Raw genomic sequence first — 19,777 nt, forward strand, 5'->3', positions numbered from 1 at the left:
GGATGCAGAAAAAGCCTGCAAGTCTGTAGGAATACTTTACAGGCAAAAACATTTTACCCAAGGGCATTTAAAAAAAATCTTTAATCAAGTTCTCTAGATGTTAGTGATAAAACAGAAATGGGTCTTCCTTACTGAGACCTGAATACAAAACTTATTCTAATACAATTTCTTTTATTGGCATACCTTTCAGATTTTGCTAAACAATATAAATTTTCATAATTACTCTGGGTAAGCATTATCTCTAACAAATGAAAAAGATTACTGACACTAAGTTAAATGACTTTTCCCAAATCCTTTTGGCTAGAATATGGCAAACCAAGGACTAAACCACCTCAGGTCTTCCCTTTATCCATTGTTCTATGTTCCCACAAAGCTTTAGAACAGTGGTTAATCACTTACAGTGGTAAGTTAACTAGGGTGCTTATAAAATACTGAATCACAAAATTGCTTGATCTTGAAAATGTGAACTTCATTAGAGGGTGGGGGCAGAAGAGTCTGTATACTCTTTTTTCTGTTTGCACATTAACACATGTTCATTTTATGAAACGCAGACAATTAAGAAATGAAGATTCTCCATAATCTGTCCTCTGAAATAAAATATATACACAAAATCTGAAAAAATATTTAAGGCTAAACAATATTCTGTTACAATTTTTTCCTCAATGTTAGGCAAATTAAATATCTTCATCCCCACTAACCACATAGGTTAAAATCGGAATGCATTTCAAACTATTTAAATTTCTCCTACTCTTACCCTACCACTCATGAACCCTACTATTTTGAGTTCTGAGGCAAGTTCAGACTGATTCAAATTCATGTGTCCCATGGCTAGTCAGAGCCCTGGGTAAGGACCACTCAGCCAGGAAAACAGATGTGGTATTGTCACTCCAAGAGGCCCTCCCTCCTCTCTACTCTTCCCATCATGGCATACAACAGTTCTTACCACCCCCCACCACCCCACCCCTGGCCCAAAAAATCAGTTTTAAAAAATACAACTAACCTTTATAGGAAGATTAGGATACGTCAGAACTGTTCCAAACAATTCATATATACTAAACCATTTTAAACTCTACATAGTCGTGACAGAGTTTAGACTAGTATCTCCATTTCACAGATTAAATAGGCACAGAGAGGTTAAGTAATTTGCTGAAGGTCCCCATAGTAAAAGGCAGAGCTAGTATCAAACACTGCTCTTACATATATATACACAATAAGCTTAACAAGGTTGTTGAATGTAAGTCACATACAAAAGGCAAATATATCTTCTATATACCAACACAAAAAAATTTAAAGATTGATTTTGGTAATAAAAAATATCAGATACATAGGAATAAATCTCAGCATTACAAAACCTCTACACACAAAAAACTGCATGATCCCATTTTTATGAAGTTTGAAAACAGACAAAAATAAACTGCCATTAGAAGTCAAAATGTAGCCTCATTTCCTAAGAGTGTTGCTATGGTCTAAATGTTTATGTCCCCCCACACCCATTCACATGGTGAAATTCCAACCTCAAGGTGATGTTATTAGGAGGTGGGGCCTTTAGGAGGTGATTAGGTCAAGAGGGCAGAGCCCTCCCTCATGAATGGGATTAGTGTCCTTATAAATAAGGCCCAAAAGAGCTCTCATTCCTTCTACCATGTGAGGATATGGCAAGAATATGCCCTCAAAGAGGAAGTGGGCCTTCTCCAGACACTGAATGTGCTGGTGCCTTGATATTCTTGACTTCTCAGCTTCCAGAACTGTGAGAAATAAGATTTCTGTTGTTTATAAGCCACCCAGTTTTTGGTATTTTGTTATACCAGTCCAAACAGACTAAGAGAATTGTTATTGCGAAGTTACGATGTTGCTGAAACAAATATCTAAAATGTGGAAGAGGTTTTGGAACTGGGTAATGGATAGAGGACGGAAGAGTTATGAAGTGCGGGCTAGAGATAACAACCCATAAAATATTTTAAAAAATTATATATGATATAGAAAAGGCTTTATAACATATACCAGGACTTCAACTTTGATTAAGGCTGTGAGGGACATAAAATAATCTACATACACACAGAGCAATATAACTGTTGATGATGGTTATCTCAGGAGAGCTGGTATGAGGGGAATTTCTTCCTTATAATCAGGAAAAACAGCCCTCAACCTTTCCTTCTCTTATATACATACTACACACAGGTGTGGAGAAGACCCACATGACATCCTGCTCAAAGACAGCCCTATACGTATCTGCAACAGGCAAATATAATTTTATTTATTAATATTTCACATATTTAATATGTTCATTGCGATAGCAGCCATATATTTGTTTGCTGGATTCTTACATGATGTAAAATAAAGACACTTCAGAGGACTTGCTGAATGACTGTCTACCAAGAACGCAGGCATCAGGACAATGGGGGTAACAAGCAGAATGACTAGAATGAGTCACGGAAGATTTCATGTATTTTTCCAATTATTTACTCAAAGTGAGGATGAAGGGATAAAAGGCAGAGCAGAATTATAATTACTGTATGTTGGTCCTAAACAAAAGAAAACCAATGTCAGATTGTTAAAAATTCCAAAGTATAAACAACAACTTTTCCTGGGGAGCTTTAAAGGTAGAAACTGTGATGCTGACAGGGGATTTTTAAAAAACCATTTAAAAAACAAATAAGCAAATGTACATTACTGAATAATAGCAATTGGAAGCTCTGAGGAATTTGTCTCTTCTTTTAGAAAATATTTCATTGTTGCTTTGGCAGAATGAGTTATGCCTGATTCTCTTATTACTCAAGCTATTCCTGGGAATACAATTACAATTGGGTACAATTGTACCCAATTTAAGAAAAATATTTTTTACAATTTAAGAAAAATAAATCCTTTAATGCCACTGTTTAAGCCTCCAAAACAATCACTTATTAAAAGGATGCCTCTGGTATCCCAGAATAATTACTGTGGCTTATATTTTCCACTAGGCTCCCATGGAACAAATCATTGAATCAATAAATGATGGCACTCGACAGGCTCTCTGGGATTTTGATACTTAATAAAGATAGGAAACAGAGGCTCCCATTAACAGTGCTAGATTATGCACAGTCTCATTTAGTTTTCCCAGCAACTCTAACAGGGAGGTTTCATTTTCCTTTTACAAATAAAGAATATTTTGGCTTAGCAATTACTTGCTCATACTCAAATGGGTACAGTATGGAAACTCCAAGATTTAAATTGGGTCTTTCGGATCCCAAGTATCAAGCCTGATACTTTCCAGTGTATCAGGCTGTTTAGTGTACATACTGAGGATTAAATATTTAAATAATAAAAGTCATTGCTTACTTGCTCAAAACCGTTTATATTCAGTAAGAAAACTAGTGATTTTAGTACTAGTACCCTTCTATAGGAAAAGTAGATTGGCTTACAATGAAACCACACATCTCCAACACTATGGGTTGAATTATATGTTATTCCTTTGTGGTTTTGTGTGTGTGTGAATTCAGGTTTAGTGCATTTGTCTAAGGGCAGAAGGATCAAAGTGTAATCTTTTTTTGGGGGAAGGAATGTGGGAGACAATCTCTCAGCGGAATCTGGATCATGCTGAGCTGTACCCAATAACCAGTCTGTGAAAGTAGTGGTAAAGGACTACAGATGGTGATAAAAGGTATAACTTATTTTAAGCAAATCAATAAATCAAACCATGAAATTATAAAACTGATAAATTAGGGATAAGCTACTTATCCAAGTTTACCAAAATATTTTCTGATTTATAGTCTTTATCACAGATTTTATTTAAATAGTTGCTATCTAAAAACATACTTTATATTCTTGCAAATAAAATACACATTACTATTGCCTTTAAGATTAGAATTTTAGGCTGGGCGCAGTGGCTCACTCCTGTAATCCCAGCATTTTGGAAGGCCAAGGTGGGCGGATCACTTAGGTCAGGAGTTTGAGACCAGCCTGGCCAACATGGTGAATCTGTCTCTACTAAAATTACAAAAATTAGCCAGGCATGGTGGCAGGCACCTGTAGTCCCAGCTACTCAGGAGGCTGAGGCAGGAGAATTGCTTGTGAACCTGGGAGGTGGAAGCTGCAGTAAACTGAGACTGCAGCACTGCACTCCACCCTGGGCGACAAAGCAAGATTCCATCTCAAAACGAAACAAAACAACAAACAACAAAAAAACCCACAAAAACAAACAAAAAACCCCTAGAATTTTTTTTTTGTGTGTGTGTGATTCTGAAATCTTTTTTTTATTGTTATACTTTGTTCTAGAGTACCTGTGCACAATATGCAGGTTTGGCACATATGTATACATGTGCCACGTTGGTGTGCTGCACCCATTAACTCGTCACTTACATTAGGTATACCTCCTAATGCTATCCCTCCCCCTCCTCCCCACCCCATGACAGGCCCCGGTGTGTGATGTTCCCCTTCCTGTGTCCAAGTGTTCTTATTGTTCAATTCTCACCTATGAGTGAGAACATGTGGTGTTTGGTTTTTTGTCCTTGCGATAGTTTGCTCAGAATGATGTTTCCAGCTTCATCCATGTTCCTACAAAGGACATAAACTCCTCCTTTTTTATGGCTGCATAGTATTCCATGATGTATATGTGCCACATTTTCTTAATCCAGTCTATCATTGATGGACATTTGGGGTGGTTCCAAGTCTTTGCTATTGTGAATAGTGTCACAATAAACATACGTGTGCATGTGTCTTTATAGCAGCATGATTTATAATCCTTTGGGTATATACCCAGTAATGGGATGGCTGGGTCAAATGGTATTTCTAGTTCTAGATCCTTGATGAATCGCCACACTGTCTTCCACAATGGTTGAACTAGTTTATAGTCCCACCAACAGTATAAAAGTGTTCCTATTTCTCCACATCCTCTCCAGCACCTGTTGTTTCCTGACTTTTTAATGATTGCCATTCTAACTGGTGTGAGATGGTATCTCACTGTGGTTTTTATTTGCATTTCTCTGATGACCAGTGATGATGAGCATTTTTTCATGTGTCTGTTGGCTGCATAAATGTCTTCTTTAGAGAAGTGTCTGTTCATATCCTTCACCCAATTTTTGATGGGGTTGTTTGAAAAACCCCTAGAATTTTAGCCACAATCCAACATAAAAAAAGTTACTTATAAAAATGGTTTTGAAATTAAAGAGTTTATACTAAATTAACATTTGTGAAGAATCAAATTATGCTTCTTATTTTGAGGGCGAAAAGTAAATGTTAAAAACCGAATAAATAATTCTGTTATATGAAGTACATTTTATAACATCTTTCCCCAGAAACCATTACTTATTTCTGCCAATGGTATTTTTACTTTTCACTGACCCACACCATAGGGAATTACCAGACACTGAAAATCTTTTCTGTTTTCAATGAGTTTATTTTCGTGCAAGAAGAAAAAAAAAATATGTATCAAGGTATTACAGATAGGTCTGATAACTTTAGGTGAATATTATTATACTTATGAAACAGTTTATGCATCATTTATTCTTGTTTTCACTTATTCATTCTTGGCCAACATTTACTTATTCTGCCATCTAATTTACCTATTTAAGCAACATGTAGTACCTACTACGTACCAGATTCTGCCAGTTCAATTACTACCTTTTGGACACCAATTTACAAGGGTTCCTTGCAAATCTGAACTGTCTACCTCTGAAGGATACTTGTATTCCAACCTCTACCCAATCTTCTGATGACATTACTCATATATCTCCTCTCTCCCTTTCCCCATGATATAGTCACGGCTGTAGCCTCTAAGAAGTCAGGTGGAAAAAAACATAAAAGTGATATTAAGATGCTCTTTTGGCAGATAGGACAAGAAGGGACCTTTATCTTTCTTCCACCAGATCAGCTAGTAAGGCTGGTGCTGAGAATAGGTAGTAATAACTATGATTTATCAATAACTATGAAACCAATCTATTTCCCAAAATAGACTTAGGGCAAAGATAATCAACAAAAAATACAAAGAGGAAACACAAATTTGCAACAAAAACATCCATATGGAAGATGCCAGTTTATAGAAATATTGATCCTCCACTCTCACTCCTATGGTACTTACTTGCCATCTGTGTCTGATGTAGCTGCATAGTGCAGGGGTGTGCAGCCTCTTTCATCAAGGTCATTCACACTTGCTCCTGATCCCACAAGAGCAAACAGGCACTGGTAATTGCAGTTGGCAGCAGCGTAGTGCAGTGGAGATCTTTTGGGTCCAAGTTAATACAAGAAAGATAAAAGCCAGAGACATAACTAGTAAACAAAAGCATAGTTGACTCTTACTCCTCCCAGTTACAAATACTTTATTTACAGTGAGACTTAGACTACCATATACTAAGTCTTGCGGAGGACTGGACATAAAGCTAGAAGAAGAAAGCAAGGTGGCAGAGAACCTTTAAGTATATGAAATAAGATGAAAATGCAGTTATTTCATCGCCTCCAGGCAGTAGCAGCAATCCCAGTCCCAGTCCTTTGAGTGACTTTCAAATAACCTTCATATTCTGCTCAGAAATGTGAAAACTTTCATTTTAGGAAAGTTTCCCCTACATTAATAAAAATGTTCCACAGTACAGAGGTAGCAATTTCTATTCATGTCTCAGAAGAAGAACAAAAGGTAAGAGAAAAAAATAGAAGAAACATTAAAAAAAATGTAATTAACCCTGAATTACTTTCAACCCTCTCAACTCAAAGCATTTTTCAGAAGCCCTCTCTGTTATTTGTAGTATAGAATGCCTGAAGTACTAAAAATTAATATAAACTGGATTAAAGTATAATTATAAAAGCAAATTAGCTATAAAAATATTGCATTCCAAAGCCAAAGTGATTTTTTTATTTTTGTGGGTCATTAGTTCTTTCCATTAAGTAGGCTTATGAGAGCAATCTGTTCTTCAAAGTAATTATGGTGTCAAATAGTTTTTATTTTCTTCTATTCATTTCTGATTTCCTACCATGCATAATTCTTTTTACTTCTCTTCTGCACTGGTTCTATCACATGCATTGACATATATTCACACATTTTCTTCTGACATACACCCTTCCTTCTCATACACTTTGCTATGTATAATTCTCAAACTGTTGACACACACAGTTTTGCTTATACTGTCATCTCTTTCAAACCAATTCCAACTGCCTTCAATTCTTTCCTGTATGGTTCTAATGCACTCTGTGTCAATTCCTACTCTAAGTAACTTAACAGTAGTTTTAAATACTGCTACCACAAATACTCAACAATGAGGCCTGCTGAATGACTACAAAGACTGTCATTTCACAGCTGCCTTCCTGTTGTGAAATACTTAGTGGGATGTGTGGATATATGTGTGTGAGAGATTTATATAGAAGAGGAGAAAGAAAAATTACACATATATATTTATAACCTATTTCCTCCCTCTTACTACTGCTCTGGAACAAGATATGGGCAGTAGAATCCCTCACCAAGAAATGACTTGGAGAAAGGAGAACTGTATCATTATTTTCTAGGTATTGTGAGTTTCTTGAAAAAACATAGGTTCTATGGGGCTTTACATTTCCATAGTCATAATTTTTGGAGGGGGGGAAGTGATAGCAAGTATAGAGGCATTTATAAGGCCAAGGCTGTGGTTGGTAGGCTAGGGCTGTGGTAGGGACTCAAGAAGAAAACTGTGGGTGAGAACGAATATTTGGAAGTTACTGACTTCAGCTGGGACTCTCAATGAATCATGATCAGTGTACAAGATGCTAAATTGTTCAGTTAATTTTCAGAAGCCAGTTAGAAGGTCAATCAAGTTATTAAGTAAAAATAGGCTCCATAAAGAAACTGTATCATACCCTACCTCCCAAATTTGTCCTTTTTATTAAAGTCTGCACCAGTATTCAGCAGAAGGTTTAGGCACTCCAAATTCCTATTGAGAGAAAATACAGTTAGAAAACTTAATTGACAGTGATTTTATAATGAAATTGGTAGGTTTAAAGAAGCATGAAAGCATGTTTTTATATGAAGATAAATGTGACAAAAATGATGATTTACATTCTATGAAGAATAAAACATTGAAATTCATCTTATCTAGAATTTAGAAAGTTATATACTTACATATTGGCACACTGAGGAAATAACACACGATTCATGTTGTCATTGTTTAAAAGGAAGATCACATTTGCAAAAGAGATTCTGAGGAGGCTTTAGGAAACAACTTGCTTATAGGTTTTTTTTTTTTTCTTGAAACAGAGCCTCACTCTATAGTTTAGGCTAGAGTCCAGTGATGCAACCATAGCTAACGGCAGCCTCCAACTCCTGGATATAAGCGATCCTCCAAGTCTCAGCCTCCTGAGTAGTTAAGCTTACAGCTGTGAGCCACTGCATGAGTCCTGTCAGCTTTCCCTTATCTTCTCCTATACTATGACTGTTTACATATATGTATCTTTAGTTAATACTGGAGGAAAGGATATAACTTAAGTATTTCTGTAATTTAACTGTATAAACCTCAACATCAAATTACTATGTTACAATGAAAACTGTAACTGTCAAGTGATCAGACACTCAAGTCTGTTGTCCCTCTCTCTGTAGGCAAGTTACGTGGAAGTTAGGTTTTAACTGGAAGGTTCTCTGGCGACCTTGGAAGAACAAGAAAACCAGTCACATGCTCACAATCCATCTCTACAACTTAGACTGTGCTGGTGTACTCTTGGTTCAACGTACTCGTCCTCTGAAATCACTGAAAATTTTTAAGAAATTATCATTGAGAATAACGTTTTTGCAAAATGTCCTTTTGAGAAATCATGAATTAAATGGCTTATCACAGATCTAAATTATCAGAAGCATTAGATAAGAAGCATGTTCCAGAGGCCATGAGTTTTAGCTGAAGTTTGTTGCTCGTATGAACCAACTGCCTAATTTTTCCCTGGTGGTACTATTTAAAACTTAGTCCAAAATCTTCCAATCTCAAACTTTCCTCTTCCTAGTAGAGGTAAGACACAGCACAAAATGAACATTTTTTTCCTGGGGGAAAAAAAAATTAACAAATCTACTTAAAGAGTACTTGTATTATTCAGAATATTCCCAGTATTTTGATGTTCTCATTTGAGAACATACTTTTTAAAGAAATAGTTTTACTTATCCAGAAATTATGTTCTTTTACAGAAGGCAGTATTTCCTTTTGTAGGTTTATTCTCTCTCTCTCTCTCACTCATAACCTACAACTTGGCTGGAATAAGATGAAAAAAAGTATTCTGCCACCCTGGACTTTTTTTTCCCAAACAACTCCTGTTTTGTTTTCTATTTTCTGGCAGCCCAGAATTAATAAAAAAGAACAAAGATAAGAGAAAACCTGCCATGACCAGCTATCTTTTCTTAAAGAAATAAAAATACTATTAACATACCCTCCAGCTGCAGCTGCATGTAGACAAGTCCTGCCAAAATCATCTGGGGTATCTATATCAAATCCTACAAGAATGAATACATCTTATTTATAACAGACATATTATTTTACACTAAAGAATTGTGTCATGAAACATCAAGAATCACATCCTCCCCTCCAATCCCAAACAAAACTATGGGTTCTTAAGTGCTAGAGTGCCTGTTTAAAAGGCAATAGGATACAATGGAGTATTATTTAGCAATAAAAAGAAATAAAGTACTGATACTGTTCCATGAATAACCCTTGAGAACATTATATTAAGTGAAACAAGCCAGTCACAGAAGATCACATGTTGGGTGAGTCCATTTATAGGAACTGTTCAGAACAGGCAAATTTTATAGAGATGAAAAGTAGATTAGTGGTTGCCTAGGGCTGAGGGAAGAAAGAAATGGAGATTAACTGCTAATGGTCTTTCTTTAACAGGGGATGAAGAGGTTTTCTGTATTTTTTTTTTTTGAGACAGAGTCTCGCTCTGTCTCCTAGGCTAGTGTGCAGTGGCACAATCTCGGCTTACTGCAACCTCTGCCTCCTGGGTTCAAGCGATTCTCCTGCCTCAGCCTCCCAAGTAGCTGGGATTACAGGTGCTCACCACCACGCCCAGCTAATTTTTTTTTGTATTTTTTTTTTAGTAGAGATGGGCTTTCACCATGTTGGCCATGCTGGTCTTGAACTCCTGACCTCAAGTGATCTGCCTGTCTCGGCCTCCCAAAGTGCTGGGATTACAGGCATGAGCCACCACGCCAGACCTGAACCCAACACGTTCTAAAAGGGGTTATTAAATTATCCATACTGGACCCATCTGCATTAATTTTTAAAAAGCAGGATAGAGACCATCTAAAAATTTTGAGGGGTTTGAGGAGACATACAAAAGGCTGCAAAGGTTACACTTACCTGAAGAAAGAAGTTTTCTGCAGCAATCTGAAAAGCCGCTTAAGGCTGCCAAATGGAGGGGGAACATTCCATGTATGCCACGCCTAAAGTTAATAGAACAGGACAGTATCTTCATTTTAACACAAGAAAAATACAATCAGTTAAATACATTACAAAGAGACCACTTAAGTGAAAGATAACTAAGAGCCAAAATGTCTAACACTTCGGAGAGTAATTTGGTTAAAGTTTGATGGTGGGCATAACTTATTAGCCAGCTATTTTTCTCCAAAAGTCAGGTTTCTCACCTTCAGCACTACTGTCATTATGGACTTTGCTGGGGAAACGTGAGAAGCCATTCTGTGCATACAGGCTTACAGGCTGTTCAGCAGCATCCCTGGGCTCTACCCAATGGATGTCATTAACATTAACACCTTCCTCCCCAAATTGTGACAACCAAAAATGTATCTGGACATTTGCTTAGGGAGCAAAATTCACTACCCTGTCACCCCACCATTGAAACATTTCCATAATGCAACATGTTCAAGAATATTTATTGTAGTAATTCTGTAATAGTGAAAAACTGTAAGCAACTTGTATTTGCAAATAAGGAGAATGAATATATTGTGAAATCTTTATACAATAATTCTATAAAATAAATGAACTAGAGCAACTTGTACAGATGTGAAAGAAGGCCTAAATTTCTATCTAGATGGCTAAATTAATAAGCTCATGTAATTTTTTTGGAAAAAGTTACAAAACAGATAGGTGCAGTACCATACCATTACAGAAAGTAAAAAAGATTTAAAACTTGTTAATGAACACATGTAAATGTGATACAAAGAATGATAAACATAAATTTAAGTATGGTGTTTCTTGCAGAGCATTAGCAGGAGGACTCATCTTTCAAACAAAATATTACAATGGGAACTTTAATTTATAAAATAAATACAAGCAAACTGTTCTGACCAAAATGGGGGTGGGGGTAAGAACTCCTTCGTAGGATTCCAAGGAATCCCTGAGCTTGGCACAGCACAGCCTGAAAAGTATTATCTACAGATAGTATTTGGATTAAAAAAAAGCATCTGGCACATACAGCTTTCTGGGACTTTTAAGTACTTCTAGGTTAAAAATAAAGAGATCACAAAAATTAACAGCTCTGATCAAAACTGCGTTATTACTCAAAGTGAGAAAGAACTGGGGTAACATACATAAAAATACACTGGCTTACCAAATAAAATTGTATTTAAACATTTTAACCTACCACTTTGTCAATACAAAAGAAAGTTCAAGCAATTAATACAACATTGAGGATAAAATCCACATTTCCACGTGAAATGTCTAGAAAACTGCAGTTCACTTCCCTTTGTGCTTGCCTGTATCAGTTATCAACACCTCGGTAAGTACTTACTTTGCAGTGTCAGCACCACTTGTAATAAGAGTGTTGATCAGCAGCTCATGGCCATACCGTGCTGCTATGTGCAAAGGGGTATTTCCATTCTTATCCTCACAGTCGATTACAGCTCCTGCAATATAGGACTTACTGTCAGACACTGGACCATATAAAGATCAGGTCAAACGTACTACATGAAAAGTAATAAAAAATGCTGTTCACATACAAACTAATAGATACAGCAATTTTAACTAGATTTCATTCATAGCTCATTTATTGGGCCAGGCAATGGATTTATAGCTTTTATACTTAAAGCAATTGTGTGAATTAAGCATAAGATTTTAGTAGATTTTTAAATTGACAAGAGGGTTCTGGGGTCCAATAAGTTTGGAAACTACTGTATTAAAACAAAATTAAACACGTTTCTTTAGAGCAAGACTTCAGAGCTTTAATGTGCATACTCTGTCATCAAGACTGCATGCAATGCTTCAAAAAATATTGGATCATGAACCTATTTCAACTTTTCCCCTGCAAAACCATAGCACCTATTATCTTGAGGATAAATTTCTTGGAATATGCCTTGGAAAACACTGATTTAAAGTAATACACCTAAAAGTTCTTTTGATTTAAAAGTTTAGCTTGCCTGATATTAATTTAAACACAAAAGAATACAAACTCAAGAAATTAAAATCCTGAAAATAGTTGCAGATACTCAACAGGGGAAAATGATACATGTATAATGTATATACAGAGTACACACATTAATATATAATACAAATTATGGTAGAAAGTAATTTTCTATTTAGCAATATTGAAAAAAGCTAATACTAACTGCTGAAGAAATAACACAGTTCAGGGAAACAAAACATAAAAAACAAAAGTATGAAAGATACAGCTACGTGGTATTTTATACTCTTTAATATTTTATTTTCATGAGCTCTGAAATCATGTATTAAAAATACACAAAATGCGATGACAATTCCTCAATACCATTCATTTGGTGGATGTTTTTACTACATTTAAGAAAAAAAAAAAAAAACCCCAAAAAAAAAACAGAAATACTTTTTACCACTCTGGATAATGGTTTGTGATCGGGAGAATCTACCGTGGAGAGCAGTCATGTGTAGTGGGGTTTTCCCATCTTTACTCTGGGGGGGGAAGAAAAAAATTACTCACTCTACTATATCCATAATGTGTAAACCTTAGTTTTACTTTGAATACCCTCTTGCATCTTTATTTTTATAACTATTTTACATGAATTAAGTTTAACTGAGGCCTATGGAGGTAAAACAGCTGTTTAAAATTAGGAATTAATTTTTTTAGCACGTGTATCATAAAACACAAATATACAAAAATTCCATGCTTACAATTTATAAAAATTGGGAGTGGGACAGTAAGGATGTGTCTCCCAAGTTTCAGATTCAAAATTTCACACTGCTCCAACATTTCCATTCTAAGAAATTCTGAATCCTTCCTTGACCAAGTAAAAGTGAGTATTAGAATTAACTTCGTGAATTTTGTGTGGATACATTTAAAAAAATAAATACAAATAATTAAAACTACATATATTTGTTTATAGTTACGTGTACTAAATATTTTCTCAAATCACTTAAAATAATAAATCAGACTGGCTGCACACATATATATTTCATGTAGAAGTTCTAAAGGAGTTCCAAATATGAAGAAAAACAATCCCTGATTTAGGTTATCTTTTCTTCTGATTAGGTAGTGTCTTTTCTTTTCTAAAATCTTTCAGTTAACCAAAACATACATGTTACCAACGCAAAGGAAATAAACTACTTAGCAGCTTCCTAATCTCACAGCAACATTCAGCATGCCTTCTGCATAGGTACTAAAATGGAAATGTCACAAGTATTCTAAGTTTATGCTAACACTGTACAACGCAGATATTCTTTAAAAATCCTCATGTCTTTATAATAATAATTAGAACATCATAAGTATCTACTTAAGTGTTTGATTCCATAATATGAATTTTTCAAGTAAACAAGCCATCCAATTGACAAGTAATTTTACAGAAGTTCTAATCTTTTGGAGGCAGTACGAGAAAGGAAGGGGAGGAGGAGAGAGGATGCATGCATGCACAGGCTCTGGAGTCAGAATAACCTAAGCATGAATCTCAGATCTCCTACTTACCACAAGCAAGATTTTTGGACAAGTTGCCTAACTTCTTTGTGCCTTCAGTTCCTCAACTGAAAATGAGGATAATACCATCTACATCTTACTGGTCTGTTGTACAGAGTAAATACAATAATCCTTTGTAAAACACTCAGATAACACATCAGTGCTTCTCAGGATATATTTGTTTTACCATTATTTTTCATGTACCAGTTGTTATTTGTTCAACCAGAAAAAAAAAGGGCAAAAAAGCATCTTGGCAAAAGGATTCTGTCTTTCCAAAATGTTCCAGATAGGATATATCCTAATTTTTAATGTTAATATTTTAGCTATGGCCTTTTTTTTCTCTCTTTTTTTTTTTTGAGACTTGCTTTGTTGCCCAGGCTGGAGTACAGTGGTGTGATCTCAGCTCTCAGCAACCTCCGCCTCCCGGGTTCAAGTGATTCTCCTGCCTCAGCCTCCTGAGTAGCTGGGATTACAGGCATGCACCACCATGCCCAGCTAATTTTTGTATTTTAGTAGAGATGGGGTTTCACCATGTTGGCCAGGCTTGTCTTGAACTCAAGACCTCAAGTAATCCACCCGCCTCGGCCTCCCAAAGTGCTAGGATTACAGGCATGAGCCACCGCACCTGGACTTTTTTTTTTTTTTTTTTTCCCTTAAAGAGATGGGGGTCTTGGTCTGTCAGCCAGGCTGGAATGCAGTGGTGTAATCATAGTTCACTGCAACCTTGAACTCTAGGGTTCAAGTGATCTTCTAACAACAGCCTCTGGAGTAGCTGGGACTACTGGCATGTAACATTACACCTGGCTAATTTATTTTTTGTAGAGATGGTCTCTAAGTTGCCCAGGCTGGTTTTGAACTCTTGGGCTCATGTGATTCTCCAGCCTTGGCTTCCCAAAGTGCTGGGTTTACAGGTGTGAGCCACCATGCCTGGCCAGCTATAGCCAATTTTTACAGACATAAGGAAAAACATAGATTCCATTGATAAGAAGGATAAGAAAAACAAGAGGAAAACTAACTAAACAACCCCCACAACTCAAAACAAAACAAATAAAAACTTGTAATAATAATTTGATTAACAAAATGATGAAATTTGGAAGATATAACTATAGTTAACATTTATGTATACATAGCACGTTTCACGCACAGTTTTAAAACACTTCATATGGTCAGGCACGGTGGCTCATATCTATAATTCCAGCGCTTGGGGAGGCCAAAGCGGAAGGACTGCTTGAACTCAGGAGTTTGAGGCTGAAGTGAGCTATGATGGTGCCACTGCACTCTGGGCTGGTCAACAGAGTGAGATTCTGTCTCCCCATCTCCCTTCCTCCTAAAAAGCCAAAACCAAATCTACTTCATATATATTATTTAATTCTCACAACCCTATCAGATTGATACCATTAATCTTGTTTTATAGATGAGGAAATGTAGGCCCCAGGGTTAAGTGATTTTACTAGGTCTCATAGCTAATAAGTGATGAGTCCTTTATTTATTTATTTATTTATTTTGTTTTAGAGACAAGGTCTTGCTATATTGCTCAGACTAGACTTGAACACCTGGCTCAAGTGATTCCCTCACCTCAGCCTTCCGAAGGTAGCTGGGACTAAAGGCACACACAACTGGGCCTGGTTAGAATCCTTTATTATAAGCCTATATGTGGCACTGGATCAACATTTTTACTTTCTACATACTGATAATAAAACCTATTCTAAGTATACAAAGGAAAAAGAGATTCAGATTACTAACTAAAAAGTTTGCCATAAGACACGTTAGCGGGGAGAAGGCACAGTTATTTCTTTCTGAACTGGAGAAACAATGTGGAGTTTTCTTTTTCTTAATCACCTCAAATCACTTTAGCAGAAAACTAGGAGTATTAAGAAAAAAAAAAAGAAAAATAACAAAAACCAAAATTTAGAGCTACAAAAATCCTAACAGTTGATCTCACAGGCAACCAAAAACAGTAACTACAAGCCAAACACTTCACAGTATTTTTTTAGGTTTAAATTTCAAAACAAGCATTTGGTGTATTTTGCTTAGCTGACCAAAATCTATTCTTAAAGAACAATGTGGGTGGGAAAACGTGTGCATATAAATGAAGCAATCAGTGCAGTAAGGCTCATGTCAAGCAGTTCTAAAAAACAGACCTATACTGCTTTATAAACCTGATTCATTTTACCTCTACCACTTTGCAGGAAAATGAATTTATAACCTTAGAAACTGAGTTATTACAAACTTAAATTCACATTCCAATTTCTAGTCATCTATAACTTGATCAAGGTCAGAAACAACAAAATGGAGAATGTAGTAGGAGGAAAAGATTAAGCAGGAAAAAAGAGATAATATGGTAAGAATATGAGGGTTAGTAAATCAAATTTTTATAATAAAGGGCAAGTGTAAAGTGTCCCCATAGTCAATCAATAACTTAATAACACCGATTTTACAAATTATAAAAAATACAGTTGTCAGGAATGAATATATATTCTTGCTGGATGAAAACTCACAGCTATCAACATATTGTGTGTAAGAGCTGGAAGGGATCTGAGAAATCAACATGGGAAATGTGTTTCAACAAAATTTGACAATAAAATAATTGGACAATTGCATATAAATGAGATGTCATACACCCTTAGGTGAAGTTAAGATGACTTTCGTGAAATCTGTTTTGAAACCAACATCACAGGCTGTTGCTGTCAAATCTACTTAAATATATCTTAATGCCTTTGCTAAAAAATTCACTTGTCATATATGAAATTCACCACTGAGTTTTCTAAATTATTAAGGAGGTAACTTCAAATAGGACCACTGGTTTGAGCATTTTACTCTAAGTGGGCCTCTTAGAGGACTGATTCTCAATTCTACATTTCAAAAGAAAATACAGACTTAAAAACAATCACAGGTACTATAGTCACCTAAGTAGACACTAACAGAATCAAGTGATTCATTATCATCAAATTATATTAAATATTCATGCCAAAATGGCAGTGCATAAAACAGGAAGCCCAATCTCTACCTTTTAAAGACAGCATCATGTGAACCAAAAAATGCATAGTAGCTGACGACACAGGTAAAGTTCCGTAATTTCCATAATACTAACACACAAAGATGATTTTATCCACATTCACTATCGTAAACAGGTCTCACAGAGACTGAGAAAACTTGGTTGTGACGTTTGCTTTTGAAAATGTCAAGATTAATTCCAAATCTTTTATTTTTGAAATAGCCTAACTTTCATTAAAGAAACATTACTGCGCCTTTGAGGAAAAAACTAACTTTTCTCCTCACAACTGTCTAGATATTTTTCTGGGCCCTGATTATCCAAAGTGCAGGAATTCTTCAAATTAAAATAAGCAGTTCAAACCTGTAATAAATAAACTTTCTAGTAATTACTTAAACTATAAAAAATGTTACTAGGTGATTTGACCGAGACCTAAAAACTTTTAAAAAGATGGTTTAGCTCTAATCATATTAGGGCACTTTGTGACATCTCATGTTTTTTCTTCCTTGGGTGTAGTATGTATACATTTTGTCCTGTAGTTGAGAGGGCAATTTAAAGCAATGGCCTAATTACAGATGGATTTGTTGCTGTTACAGCTGTCAGAATTGACCCGTGGCATCATTAAAGGCTTCACTGAAGTTAGGTGAGAAAATCTCATGTAATCAAAATGCTCTGAAAATCACATTTTAAGCTTAAACATTTTTACTAATCCTAAATGGCTCAATTTTGTGTCTGGTTTTCTTCATACCACCAGATACAGTTTGGCAAGTGCTCAAAGGATGAATTGATAAAATTAATACAGAAACAACTAACGAATTCTAAAAAATCTAATAAAATGATTATATATTATAAAATAGCAATGCTCAAAATCTGGATTGCATGTGCTCTCTTATAAAATTATATAGTGAAAGCATATTTATTTGGGTACAGAATATTCATTCATTTGAGGCAAGGTCTCACCTGTCGCCCAGGCTAGAGTACAGTGGTGCGATCATAGTTCACTGTAACTTTGAACTTCTGGGCTCAAGTGATCCTCCAGCCTCAGCCTCCTGAGTACCTAGGACTACAGGATAATTTTTAATTTTTTTTTTGGTAGAGATAGAGGTCTTGCTATGTTGCCCAGGCTGGTCTTGAACTCCTGGCCTCAAGTGATCTTCTCGCCTTGGCCTCCTAAAGCACTGGGATTACAAGCGTGAGCCAGACTGTATCCGGCCAAAATTTTCATTCATTCCTTTATTTATTTTTTGAGACAGGGTCTCACTCTGTCACCCAGGCTGGAGGGCAGTAGCATGATCTCAGCTCACTGCAGCCTTGACCTCCAAGGCTCAAAAATCCTCCCACTTCAACCTCCCAAGTAGCTGGGACTACAAGCATGAGCCACCATGCCAAGCTCATTTTCTATTTTTTTGTGGAGCCAGGTTATGCTGTCCAGGCTAGTCCTGAATTCCTAGGCTCAAGTGATCCTCCTACCCTGGCCTCCCAAAGTGGTGGGATTACAGGTAGGAGCCACTATGCCAGCCCAGAATTTTCACATAATTCTAAAATCCAAATGCTTACTCTTGAAAGTGATTCTAACAAAAAAAAACCAAAAAGCAACTATTCCTTATGTGCAACACACTGACAGTTTTTTTTCCCTAACACTGTAAAATTTGAAAAGATCTGTAGAGTGAACATCCATATACATACCATCTAAATTGTACCACTAGTATTTTACTCTATGTCTTTTATTGTAGATTCATCTATCCTTCCATCCACCCAGTTATTTGATGCTTTTTAAAATTAGATACAGACATCATACATGTCACCTCTAAACACAACATTAACTAGGGTTAAACATCTGTTTAGTATTTTCCTTCTAAGAGAAAATTTATATGCTATGAAAGCATACAAATGAACCACCTTATCAGTTTTGACAAATGTATATAACATAAACCCCTGCCAAAATACAAAACATTACCATCATCACATAACGTCCCTTCATGCCCCTTTCCCAGTTGATCCCTCCTCACAATGGCAATAATTGTTGTGATTTTTTTCAATTATAGATTCTGGAACCCCATATAAATGGAATTTTATTGGTTCTAGAACCTTACATAAATGGAAAGAATGTACATACTCTTGAGTAAGGCTTTCACTCAGCATAATATTTTAAAGATTTATCCATGTTCTTGAGTTTATCAATATTCCTTTTTATTGCTCAATGGTATTCACCATTGATGTTGTTTTAACAGTGACATATGAAATACTTATAGATTCTGATTTTGTTCCTTACCTTCATATTGACATCGGCCCCATTGCCAACTAGAAGCTCTAAACACAATGCTCCATGTGTTGATGCAGCAGCAAAGTGCAAAGGAGTAAATCCTTTTTCATTCTTTTGATTCACAATAGCACCACAGTCTATAAGTTCATTCACTACAACATCTTGTCCATTATAGCAGGCTACATGAAGAGGTGTATTTCCATAGGCATTTGGTTCATTCATCTATTAGAAGGGAAAAAAATGCGAATGTTAAAGTAGTTTTGCTAATTATCAATGTTGTGAGCTATTTTAGCAACCTGTGGTTGCAATCAAATTACTAAAGTGAGAAACGGAGACAAGATAAGTACAGAGATAAGGCTTATAATTCTAAAGTTGGTTTAAAATAATAAACCCTTGACAAGCATTTTGGTATTACATTGATTTTATACATTCAGGGAATATAATTCACATACACAATGTCTACTTCATGACAAAACTGAATAATACAAAAGAGGTATTTCAGGGAAACGTAAACTAATGTATTTTTAAAGGCGTTCTAGGTAAAGGATTTACTATAGAATTAATTATAATCATAAAAAATGAACACAAACTGAAGATTCTGAGGTATATTCAGTAACATGCACATTTTCATCTTTTTCATTTTGCAGTGACAAAGGCTAACCTTAGTAATAAAGTACAGATCAAGATTTAAAAAAAAATGAACGGCATGTTCTATTTATTTAATTCATTTTTTGCCACAAACT

The 19,777-nt window shown here is 35.7% G+C and overlaps 2 protein-coding genes across 37 annotated transcripts in view; one reads left to right on the forward strand and one right to left on the reverse strand.

The window, feature by feature from the left end:
• BTD (biotinidase) overlaps positions 1–19,777 on the forward strand; it is a 121,156-nt gene that overhangs the window by 100,511 nt on the left and 868 nt on the right. Inside the window, exon 4 of one of the 3 annotated variants that reach the window (NM_001370753.1) lies at positions 8,528–10,905. The exons of the other annotated variants lie outside the window; for them this stretch is intronic. Coding sequence (NP_001357682.1) covers positions 8,528–8,554 — 27 coding nt within the window. The 3' untranslated portion in view covers positions 8,555–10,905. Of the gene's footprint in view, positions 1–8,527; positions 10,906–19,777 lie in introns of those variants that run through there. 3 annotated transcript variants of the gene reach the window in all.
• Positions 1–19,777, reverse strand: part of ANKRD28 (ankyrin repeat domain 28) — a 192,579-nt gene that overhangs the window by 34,636 nt on the left and 138,166 nt on the right. For 33 of the 34 annotated variants that reach the window (XR_007095653.1, NR_146112.2, XR_007095652.1 and 30 more), the window contains 7 exons: positions 19,044–19,256; positions 12,707–12,785; positions 11,656–11,770; positions 10,269–10,351; positions 9,340–9,403; positions 7,797–7,865; positions 6,053–6,193 (listed from right to left, as the gene is read on the reverse strand). Coding sequence is in view for 30 of the 34 variants with exons in the window: in XM_047447807.1 (XP_047303763.1) it covers positions 6,053–6,193; positions 7,797–7,865; positions 9,340–9,403; positions 10,269–10,351; positions 11,656–11,770; positions 12,707–12,785; positions 19,044–19,256 (764 nt within the window). In the remaining 4 variants the exon portion in view is untranslated. Of the gene's footprint in view, positions 1–6,052; positions 6,194–7,796; positions 7,866–9,339; positions 9,404–10,268; positions 10,378–11,655; positions 11,771–12,706; positions 12,786–19,043; positions 19,257–19,777 lie in introns of all 34 variants that reach the window. The other variant, NR_146111.1, reaches the window with a different exon arrangement.

This window comes from Homo sapiens, chromosome 3, assembly GCF_000001405.40.
Source record: "Homo sapiens chromosome 3, GRCh38.p14 Primary Assembly".
NCBI lineage: Eukaryota > Metazoa > Chordata > Mammalia > Primates > Hominidae > Homo > Homo sapiens.